The sequence below is a fragment of the Homo sapiens genome, chromosome 5 (genome assembly GCF_000001405.40).
Source record: "Homo sapiens chromosome 5, GRCh38.p14 Primary Assembly".
Taxonomy (NCBI): Eukaryota; Metazoa; Chordata; class Mammalia; order Primates; family Hominidae; genus Homo; species Homo sapiens.
Genome location: NC_000005.10, coordinates 85,816,760 through 85,829,426, shown reverse-complemented (window position 1 = coordinate 85,829,426; position 12,667 = coordinate 85,816,760). Strand labels below are relative to the sequence as shown.

Below are 12,667 nucleotides of genomic sequence, written 5' to 3'. Positions count from 1 at the left end.
TTAATACAGAGTGATATATTATAGATCATGAAACCACACATTTTCCTTTGCCTACTGAGGTTCTATCAAAATCAGTGATTCTTTATAAAATATTAAGAATTGTTGCTGAAATTTTATTATTCTTTCTCTTCTTCTGACAACAATAAAGACAAGTCACTGGGTTTAACAAAAGATCATTACCAAAAGTGACAGTCCTTTTGTTTCCCATATATAATTTGGCAAGATTGATAAGTTGGACTTTAGACAGGCCTAACAGCAGTACTAATACCCCTAAAAAGCTGATGCTTCAAGATATTATTAACAAAAGATGAGAAAGTAAAACAATATAAAAATAGGTAATATAACAGCGTATAGTTTAAAAGTTATGTTCTGTCTCTATTAGCTGTGTGATTTGGGCATGTTTTTTAACCTACTCATGTCATCTTATTCATGTAAAATTAAGAGAAATAATCTTGTCAACCTAATGGGTTGCTTTGAAGATTAAAGGATTTATATAGGTAAAGTTTTTGGAAAATTTACTTGGTAAGTACAATTTTTTAAAGCTATGATTATTAAATTTTTAGGCATCAGCACAGATTATAGATATCTGAAAGTCTAACAGTATCCACTTCATATCTTCCTTCATGTCTATACACATACAGAGCAATGTGGCTAGAGAAAAATACAGATCTCTGCTGGCTATTCTCATTTTAAATTCTTGATTCTAACCCTTGATGAGATTATAATGCTGTCCAAAAGTCACATCATATTTGCTTAATCCATTCATCTCCCCACAATCTTTGACTATTTCTTTTATTTCCTCAAACATCTAATATTTCTTCCACAACATTTCTCCTAGTAGCTCATCACATTCTATTTCTCTGAAAAAATATAAACAATCAAATAAGAACTCCACACATTGCCACCACAAGTACTGCAAAAGTACTTTGATTTGGGACCAGTACTTTCATGCTGTGCTCTTTCTTTTGTTGAGAATAAACTGGCAATGCATCTAGCTATGGTCAACCTTTTATTTCGTGCAGTTAAAACCCTTCACCTCTTGTCTAGTCAAAAATATGGTTTCAGCAATTAAGCCTTCTTAGTTTTACACCATTACTTTTCATCTTTTTATTAGATTGTACCAATCAACGTACATATGTACTGTCATTAAAACAAATAATCTTTTTCAATTACACTTTACCCTCCAGAAACCAAGTTTGATTTCTTCATATTGCAGCTCAGTTCCTTAGATGTGGTGTTTTGTTTTGTTTTGTTTTTCTGTTGTCTCTGATTCCTCTCTTCTAATTTGCTCTTGAACTCACTCTGTTTATGGTCTGTCTCCAATGGTCAACCAAATTAGCTTTTATCAATATCGTCAATGGTCTCCAAACTACTAGATTCAAAGATTAGTTGTCTTACCATCTCACTTGAGTCACCAGCCACACTAAACATGTTGGACATGTTCGTCTTTCTACTATTTGTGATGGCATAAATGAGTAGAATATATCTATAAGGTTTCTTCTGGATGATATTTATAACTATTGAAAATTGTAATGATTGTTAAGGTTATCAATGGTTTTGGGATAAATCACAGCACCTTGTTTTTCAGCTGAAGTCACAACCCTGATGTAGAAAGGGCAAAGACATTTACCATAATAAGGTAGATTAGATGAGAAAAATTCATACTTCATTGAAGGTATGCAAATTTAGAGTGTGGCCAATATTCACAGAAAAAACTCCGGTGATGTTTTGTAATGAATAACTAGAAAGAGAAAAATAGTTTAATTATATTGACCAAAGATATATATCGATGATATTAAAGGCTGCAGAGAAAGTAATTAAGTATGCAGACTCAGGAGCCAAACTACATGAATTGATATCAGACACCTTGCTGCTTGAAAGATGTCTCTATATTTCATTATAGATACCTATAATAGTGATAATAATTAGATGCACATCATAGGGTTTTTATTAAGATAAAATATTTTAATTAATGTAAAATCTGGCCAGGTGTGGTGGCTCACGCCTCTAATCCCAGAACTTTGGGAGGCCAAAGCAGGCAGATCACAAGGATGGTGAAACCCCGTCTCTACTAAAAGTAGAAAAAATTAGCTGGGCATGATGGCATGCGCCTGTAATCCCAGCTACTCGGGAGGCTGAGGCAGGAGAATCGCTTGAACTCGGGAATTACACTGCTTAGACATTTTTGTTTTGATACATGCACCCATTTCTAAATCCAACTATCCTAATGAACAATAAGAACATACTATTTTATCCTGGACATCTTGGTCACTCCTGTGAAACACCGTGAGAGATAGGCCTTCAGAGATAAGAAGTGTCCAAAATTAAAAAATTCATGAAAAAAAAGAAATTTACATTTAAATTCTCTCTTTAAGTAAATTGTAGTTTAGATAGTTGAAAGTAAAATAAAATGAGAGAGTCAACAGGTCTTTGATGAGATTGAAGGATAAGGTAGATTGCAGATATTATCAGATGGTAGTATAAATTTTGTCCACCATTAAATGTGGTGACCTGAGAGATAAATGAAGGCAGTATACTTCATTTGAAAAGCTCAGGGACCGAAGGAAATTAGACTTTGATAAAATATAAACACAAAGTACAACTAAAGAGAAAATATCTGGCTAGTTAGAAGGAAAAAAAAACTTTTGTAGCTAAAATACAATCATTTTTTGTAGAGATTTTGGTATGTGTTTATGGAATATGCAAGCAAACGGTTGTCCCAGTGACTTGCTGTTTTTTTATGAAAGACTTCCTACTTTCTCACTCTTCCACAGATCTCTTACTATCTTAGTCCTTTGCATCATGCAATTGTCTGTTAAATAATTAGCTCTCCTAAGTAGCCTGTCTTCAAAATTTCTCTCTGTCACCCAAAAGCTATTTTAAAATCTTTCTGATATGAAGCATTTAACATACAGAAATATATATATTTTTTGTTATTACATATTTTATGTAATGTTTATGTAATATATATAAATAAGGAAATGTTAATGGATGTTAGAAAGGTATCATCTAATCTAATTTTATAATTTTTGAATTTTTCATAATTCTATAATTGTAATAACTTGAATCTTCCTTCATGTGTAATAAACTATTTTTATTAATTGTAGCATATTTTTCTTGATAAAATGAACAAATTAAATTGGTTTTTCAATATTAACCATGTTTAGACAGCTTTAAATTAATACAAGGTTAAAAAATAATAACAACACATTTCTATTTCTGTTTTCTTCATGACCCTTAGAGACTAACCTGGGTAACATGAGGAGACCCTGTCTCTAAAAAAATGCAAAAATTCACCTGGTGTGGTGGCACATGCCTGTAGAACCAGCTACTTGGGAGGCTGAGGTGGGAGGATCACCTGAGCCTAAGGAGGGCAAGGATGCAGTGAGTCGTGATCGCACCACTACACTCCAGCCTGGGTGACAAAGGGAGACCCCATCTCAAATAATAATAATAATATTTAAAAGTGTTTATCGTTGCAATAAATTTGGACATTTATGAATATAAACCATAGATCTCCCAAATTTCAAATATTACGGAGTAACAAACAACTGATATAATTGAGGTCCTTGGCAGTGGCTAAGACCCAGTATTTTCTAAATTGGTTTAGTTTAGAAAAGCTAAACTTAGCTAGGCAGAAAGTTAATTAAACCACAATCTATTTAAACTCGCATAAAGTGATTGGTATTCAAGGTGCTATATAGACACTGTTGATGGCAAGCACTGCCTTCAAAATACGTAAATCATACTCATTCTGTATAAACTGATAGTCTATTTAGAAAATAAATACAGCATATGAATTATTGTTTCATAGAGTCTGTATTTTCCCAAATGCGATGAGATTATGTTCAAAGTAATTATGTTAGTCTAATTACTTTTTCAACTTTCCAATTTCTACTACAATTATATTTGAGTGTTATTTTTAAGAAATACATAATCCCATAATGTCTGCTCAATAGACCCTAGAGACTATATTCTTCACAGTATCTAAATCATATCTTTGGAGGAAATTGGGAATTTACGAAAATAAATTACAACATATCAATATACTTTTATATATCAGAGGCTGTTCTTCAGGCAAATATGGGAGCCAAGATGCTTTATTCTAACACCTATTTTTTTCTGTATATAACTATTTCTTTCACCATCAAAGTATTATTTACATGGGAATTACAAGGATTTTGATTATTGTAAATTAACTCAATTCCACAAAATGCCTCCCTAATATCTGCAAGAGATAAGACTAGCTACAGTGATTCTCAAATATTAAAGTTAAAAGATGCCCACTATTACTAACACTGGGTAGCTTAAACACATGCTAGAAAAAAAAAAGCAATCTGATAGTTTTGATAGTGATAAATTTTGTAAAAATGGCCCAGACTTAGTGCGATGGGAGAGAAACTTTAAGCAGAGATTGCTTTTGAACATACATTAGAGGATTAGGGGAGAGCACAAGCAATAATTCATATGCCACATGCAAGACATTAGAATTGTTTTCTTGTTTCTGGAGTGCAAAGTTGGAGGCAGAATGTAGTCAGAGGTGACACTGGAGAGAGACTGACCAGCCACACCAAGTGTTAACTGGGTGATACTTATGAAGCTTAGAATTTATCCATAGGTAATATGCTGTCAATTATTATTTGCAATTTATTTTATTGGATTTTAAAAGCACCTATTTAATAAAATAATGTGTTTGTTGTAAAAAGTTAAATAGTAAAAAGATATGTATATATATAGTCCATGTGTACAATATTAACTAATTTATTTCCTTTTCCAAATGCCCACAACTATAATAATATAGTTTATTTCTTACACATTTGTAAAATGTTCATTCAATTATACACAGTGTTTTCCTAGGTTTAATGAGGTTGTGAAAAATAAGTCTGGTTAAATTCCAGAGGATGGGAAGTTAGTTTGAAAATAGAGAAAAGAACTGCTTTCAAGTGAAATGGAATAGCTAAAGGAAGACCAAGGGTTAAGAGTAAAAAAAAAAGTAAAATATTTACATAAAATTCAGGCATTTGAAGCCAAAGAACTATGGAGGCAGTGGAACTTAAAGAATTAAGAAATCAGAGAAAAATATGTCTAAGAGTTTATCTGCCTTCTGAAGCCTCTTTGACTTGGTGAATATGTCAATTAAAATGCTGGTAGAAGGCTGGGACCTTGGGACTGTAAGACTCATGAAGCACAGCTGCTAAAACAGTGAAACCGACGAGCTGCAGGCAGGTACTGGAGAACCCAGGCCACGGCCAAATTTTCATCTATGAAGGAGTAATTGTATGGGACTTGCCCTCACACATGAAACAACTATAAAACTGGAGAAAATAGATAAGACCATTGCTTTTAGGTATTTGACAACCGGCAGGGCAGGAGTGATCTCTGAGAGGAGGACAACTATGAGATAAGCCCTCCCATCACCCTGGCTTTCTGCCTGGAGATAATTGCATGGTCATGGCAAGAGGAGATGAGTAATTTTGGCAAGGTAAAGAGACCTAAATTTCATTTAAAGGAGGGTGTGGCAACTGGAATTGTTGGGGCAGAGTACTGGAGAGATCAATGCAGGGAAATAACTTGAATCTGCTTAAAAGCCTCCACTATCTTTGTCTGAATATCAATCTCTACATTCATTAAGTTTAACTTTAGGAGGCCAGACAAAGCACAACTACAATGAAAAAGACAATGTCTGGGAAGCCATAAGCTGGAAAATTCCCTGAGCACCCCAGGGCTGTGAATCATTTTGATTTATTACCTAGAGTAGAAAAACATTGTGGCGTATTTGGGGCACTTAGTAGATGCTTCCAAAGGGCTTCATCATGTTACAGGGACTAAACTAACTCTAAAGGAAAGACTACTCTAGACCCACTGTAAAAAGACTAGTCTAGACCCACACTAGACTAAACTAACTCTAAAGGAAGAAATACTCTAGAGCCACTGTAAAAAAGGCTTAAAAAGCACGGGAAAGATCAAGCTGATCCACACATAGCACACCAACGTATGTGAAATAGGGTAAGAGGTTTTCTCATTATAATTATTAAAATATAATATTTGTTGGTTCATGTTATTACTTGGTCCTGTAGTAGGACAGGCAAACAAACCTAGTAAAGATTTTTAAGTTAGGATGGAATTGGTTCACCTTAAGGGCTTGTTTAATTTAACTGCATCCATATTTTATTCATTATTCACTTACATTTTTCTTCTTTCAATCTAAGCAAAATCTATTTTTTCTAAAGATGAAAAATCTACTCTTGAAAAATAAATTCACCACAGTTACATCTCTCTGCTTTTTTGTAAGCTTCTCTGTTATTTTCAGAATCACAAATATAAATTATAGCAGGGGTAGTAACAGCTGGTGATCTTACTGCTGTTGTCTCTATTGCTGCTATTGTGGGTTCTCTGGCCCTATTTTTCTAATCTCTCTAATCACACAGTACTTTTGATGAATAATAATTAACAGATTGATGAATATATCAAAAGAGGTTAAACTTAGGGCAGTAGTAGGCAGTGTTTACTCCCACATTAGTTAATTTTCTCTTGAAATGAGATTCAGAGTGTACAATAAATGTAACTGAAATTATAGTTCTATGTTATTTTTCAAATATAGTGTGACAAATTTGATTTCTGAAAGGTTAGAATAAATGATTTGATATTTTAAAAGGTCAAAATATCATATTTTTAGTTATTTTTCATAGCAGCAAATAAATGGTGATTACTTATTACTAAGTTTTGCAAATCAAAGTTTGTTTTGGAGGGAAAGTGAAGGAGGAAGAATTGATTTTTAAAGAATACCTACAATATATTAAAGGTTTCTAATCTACTTCCTTATAAATAAGATTTGAAGTTTTACTGGATACGAATGTTAAAAACTATGGAGAATAAGGTACTGTACTTGCATGCATACTTTTTCTTAAGGAATCAAACAGTTTAATCAATTACTCATCCTGTTTTTGCTAGCTTAGATGTTGCCTGTAATAAAAAATCCATTTAATTCACTATCTTCTCTCAATGAAATATTTTATTTGGGAAGTTAACATATATATATATATTTGTACTTCACACAGGAATACAAATAGTGAGTGAGTCACACACTATGTGTGAGCCACTTAAATGAAGGCAATATTATTAGTTATTATAAAGAAGTGAAAGGAATGTAAGTAAAGGGCCTAATTTACGGTGAACATTTTATAAACATGCATTACATTTTTTATCGTCATCTTACAAATCTGAAAATAATTATTTTATAGTTGCAACCCAATAAACTATACGTGCTGCAAACTTTAATCACTTTCAAACTGTGTCAGAGGTATAAAATATTGATATGTTTAAGGATGTAAATATGGATATAAAGATAAACTGATTTCAGAAGAATACACAAATATATGTGCATACTGTATACATTTCCTATTGAAAACAGGACATCACATTTCTTTTTCTATGTCAGAGTGCTTCTTGGTTAAAAACACATCCCATTTACCACCAAAATGCAATTTAGAGAAAAAAATGAATACTGTTTTTGATTGTTTAGGTGGTGAAAAGGCAACATACATAGCCTGCCGTAATAATGATTCCACCATCTACTTTTTCATATACCTTATTCTATAACTTTATAAAACATTCTCAAAATCAATTCTGTCTGAGCTCTAGCCTTAATGCCGTCCTTCTCTTTCAAATTAACCTCTTATCCTACTGCCTAGACATCAAAAAAGTCCAAATTACTAGCCAAGAAATGGAAGAATGCTTCTTGAGTGACTGTGGAGGAAAATAAATTAGATGGGTCAATTCAGTACTCTGTAGAGGAAAGGTTAATGAGAAGGGCTGAAAAAAAATGATTAACACATTTATTGTATGTATATACTTCAGAATATTTGTCGAAAACGGAGACTCCTTCCAGGCAAAACATACGTTTATAAATATCTAACAGCATTCTAACGTCCACTGAGGCTATGGAAAATGGTTTCATTACCTGATGTCTCTGCCACGTTTCCAGCTCCAAATTTTCCATGATGTAGAATTGTGTTATATTATTGTGACTAATTGCTTTGTTTTCATTTCTTCTGAATCGGTGTTGATGTATCTTTCATTGCATCCTGTATACTCTCTATTCCATTAAATACAAGAGGATAAGAGAAAAACAAAAATATAAACACTTCTGAACTAAGCCATTTCTACTTCTTTCCAGCTACTATGTTGTCATTTATTCTGTTCTGCCTTTCAAGATGCTCTTATCTAACCCTATTTAAGGCATTTTAAGTTAAAAATAACTCTTTATTTTTACAATAGTAATGTACAATAATATTAACTCCAGATTGTTGAATGGTTACATCTTACCTAAATAATCTGAGACTTGGTGTTAAATGTAAATTGAGTGGTAAAAGCTAAGTTACAGAAGTCCAAAGATGGGTATGGACTCACTTCTCCCTGTAATGTTGATTTCTAAATGACAAAAAAAACACAAAAGCTCTGTAAATAGTTTATCTTGAAATTAACTCTAAAAGTGCCACAGCCTGATCTTCTTTGTTATGGCAGAGTAGGATTAAAATTTGTTTCACTCTCGGCTGTTTGTTTGCTTGGCACACTTTCAAAAATTGGTTTGCATTTTGCTGGCATGAAAGGATTTTTACTACTGAGCTTCGCTTTAATTAAGAAATCTAGGCCGGGAGCGGTGGCTCACACCTGTAATCCCAGCACTTTGGGAGGCTCAGGCAGGTGGATCACCTGAGGTCAGGAGTTCGAGACCAGCCTGGCCAACATGGTGAAACCCTGCTTCTACTAAAAATACAAAAATTAGTCAGGCATGGTGGCATGTACCTGTAATCCCAGCTACTAGGGGAGCTGAGGCAGGAGGTTCGCTTGAACCTGGGAGGTGGAGGTTGCAGTGGGCCGAGATCGCACCACCACACTCCAGCCTGGGCAACAGAGTGAAACTCTGTCTCAAAAAAAAAAAAAAAAATCTATTTTACACTACTCTCCTCTTCAAATTCTGCCATGGGTGCAACATTTGAATGTCACTAAAACTGGCATAAGACATTTGATTTTATCTTGGCTTTCAGATTGTGTTAACAGGTTTTAACAACTCTCAACCCCACCCAAGCAAAGTACCTTGCAAAAGACCTTATTTCAATTGCATTTATGTATCACTATTACCAATAAGTATATATTTTTTGAAGTTCCAGTGGACATCAGCAATACTGTAACAGAGGCCAATTTTCCACATGCCAAAGTTTAATTGGAAATTTCAAGTGATGGCTGGTAACTCAGTTTCTTTTATCTCACTGCATTGCAAGTGATAGTTCCAAAATAAGAACAACTTATTTGAATATCTTTAGTGACTAAATTGATCATTGTACATGTATTCATTAGTGAATTTTGTAGGTTAAGTTATACATTTAACCAACAAATATTTTGAGGTAAAGCTATATACATACTGTTCTAGAAATTAATTTACCTAATGTTTTATGTTAAATTTAAAAATTGAGGACTTTGATACATTATTTTTATAAGTAAAATTAGCATTTACACATAGAAAGACGTGGACATGTGGACATCCACAGACTCACAAATAGAATATTTATCATTTGGGAAAGGCAAGAATGCTTTACTAGCTTTACATTTGAAGGAAGAAATTGCAGTAAAAAATGTTATAGTTCATTTTCTATTTTTCCCTAATCTTAATTTTCTAACTATATATCCAAGTACTCATATTTTTGAAACTATTAGACCTTATCCAGAGCGCTAGTATAGGCCATTTTTATGTCTTCAAAAAAAAGAAAAAAAAAGACTAATATTACATTTATTTCAGCAGAAATCTTAAAATACTTGGTGCCCTGATCTTTACATTAGTAGAAATTATTACATTTCTGAAACAAAGACATGAATTAAATCAAGCGTCTAAAAGAATAAAAATACTCAAATGTGGATTTTTGTAAAATTGATTTTATGAATGCTAAAGCAACTCTTTATTTTAATGTTGATCCTTTTTCTTTATAAATACATTTTATTGGACATATATTTTCTCTGCAGCCTTGACTTCCCAGGCTCAAGCAATCCTCCTGCCTACCCCTGCTGAGTATGTACGGGTTGTTAGACAGGCATGAGCGAGGCAGGAGAGGGTTCTTCCCCACCCACTAGGAATGTCCAGTGGTGGTTTGGCAATTATCACATTGCCTCTCTAGAAGTGATAAATTGGCAGCCAGTCCTGATGATCCACACCTGTTGCACCAGCATTAATTGGTGAATGCAGATGCCAGAGAGAAGCAACTTCCGGGGTAGGTGCATTAAGAGACAAAATGATGGAATATGACCTTCCAGGGGATCATGACAGAAGAAGGGGAAAAAAAAAAGCCTCAAATGGGCATGCACACAACTTCCTAAACACACTGAGCATGCTCACCTCCTCCTAAGGGTAAGAAGGGCACTGAGGATGGAGGCAGCTCACAGGGAAGAATCATGGGAAAGGGGCCAGCCTATAAAGTTTTAATATCAAGGTTAAACAGGGCACTTAACCTTGGTGCTCACTTGGGTCTCTTCCAAGCATACTTTCCTATTTTTCCTGTTCTAAAGCCTTTTAAAATAAACTTCCACTCCTGCTCTAAAAGTTGTCTCAGTCTCGTTTTGTGCCTTATGTTCCTCAGTTGAATTCTTTCTCCTGAGGAGGCAAGAATTGAGGTTGCTGCAGACCCATACAAATTCACCACCAGTAACTCGAATACCTTCCACCGGTAACAAGTAGCTGGGACCACAGGTGTGAGCCACCATGCCGGGCTAATTTATTTTATTTTTAGTAGAGATGGGTTCTAGCTATGTTGCCCAGGTTGGTCTCAAACTCCTGGGTTTAAGCAATCTGCCTACCTTGGCCTCCCAAAGTGCTGGGATTACAGGCATGAGCCACTGTGGTTGGCCAAATTCTTCTTTTATTCTCCACAGCTACAGCAAAACTTAATCTAGGAAAATATTAACAGTTTAGAACATATTTTTAATTTTAATTAAAGCATGTGGTATATTTATTTTACATAGTAAAATACTTTCAAGCAATTCATAAGTGGATTATTTAAGTCCTCTGTGCAAAATGAATGCAGATTATAAAATAATTGTTAATTGTACCATTTTAAAGATAATTTCTAGACCTCTTTAGAAGAATTTTAGATACAATATAGTTAAAGTCATTGCAATGAATCTAATCTCTTATTCTGTACCAGTAATTTTGTCTCTATTGTTCCCATTAAATAATAAGTAGTAGGTGCTGAGCTTGAATATATGTTTTATACTGTACCGAAAAAGGACCCAGAATGTGGGCTATGTATGAAAGCATATCTAATTGCTGATCTGCTATTTACTCATCTCTTGTCTCTGGTAATATAATTTACTTCTCTGGGATTAAGATCTTTGAGAAGAGAGTAAAGGATTACATCCCCGCAAATATTTCATAATTTTAAAGGAAATCCAACAAAAACTTAAAATCCTGCCTGAGTAAATTTCTAATCAAATATGTTTGTATATATTTGGATAAGTTGTTCTCTACATAATTTTACAAAATAGCCTGAAAATGTAACTTCTCAGCAACTTTAATGAGCAGTATATTTTATATAATCTTGAAGATTGATGAGCCAGATTGAATATAATTTACACTGAATTTTCTTCATAGTAAAAGTCAATTTATAAATGAAAGAAATAAGACAAGGAAAGAAATCACACATAGAATGAGAAGGTTAAAATATGAAAAAGAGTAGAAAACTCTTTTAGAGAAATTAGGCATCATTCTTTTAACTGTCCAACGGGGTCACCTTGCCCACTGCCTAGACAGAGCCCATTTATCAAGACAGGGTAATTGCAATGGAGAAAGGGCAATTCACACAAAGCTGGATGTGTGGGAGACCAGAGTTTTATTATTACTCAAATCCGTCTCCCCAAGCATTCAGATATGGGAGTTTTTAAAGATATTTTGGCAGGTAGGGGCTCAGGAAGTGGAGAGTGCTGATTGGTCAGGTTGGAGATGGAATCATTGCTGTCCTCTATTCCTGGGTGGGATTGCTCAACTGGTTGGCCCAGATTACCAGTCTGGGTGGTGTAAGCTTATCCATCCAGTGCAGGGTCTGCAAAATGTCTCAAGCACTGATCTTAGGTTTTACAATAATAATGTTATCCCCAGGAGCAATTTGGACAGGTTCAGACTCTTGTAGCCAGAGGCTGCCTGACCCTTAAACCATAATTTCTAATCTTGTAGCTAATTTGTTAGTCCTACAAAGGCAAACTGGTCCCCAGGCAAGAACAGGGACTTTTCAGAAAAAGGATATTATCAATTTTGTTTCAGAGTCAACCCATAAACTAAATTCCTTCCCAAGATTAGTTCCACCTATGCCCTCGAATGAACAATGACAGTTTGAAGGTTAAAAGCAAGATGGAGTCAATTAGGTCTGATCTCTTTCACTATAAGAATTTCCTCAGTTATAATTTTTGAAAAATGGTTTCTTCTCATCATAAAAACTGCGCAACTAAATTAACTAAAGTTTCACATTAATAATCACTGTAGAAAAATATGTTTTTATTGTTTTAATGGAACAAGTTTCTCATTAGTTGTTCCAGGAAAGTTGAATAGGCTTTAATATCATTTATGAAAATTGTTAGTAAAATGCTTGGGGGTATATTTTTAAACTGGTAATTGAGGGAATAGTAA

At 34.0% G+C, this 12,667-nt stretch overlaps 1 long non-coding RNA gene across 1 annotated transcript in view; it reads right to left on the bottom strand.

Moving 5' to 3' along the window:
* LOC105379062 (uncharacterized) overlaps positions 1-12,667 on the bottom strand; it is a 50,894-nt gene that overhangs the window by 26,774 nt on the left and 11,453 nt on the right. The window contains exon 2 of the long non-coding RNA XR_948532.2: positions 7,961-8,095. This is a non-coding gene — a long non-coding RNA (uncharacterized LOC105379062). The remainder of the gene's footprint in view (positions 1-7,960; positions 8,096-12,667) is intronic.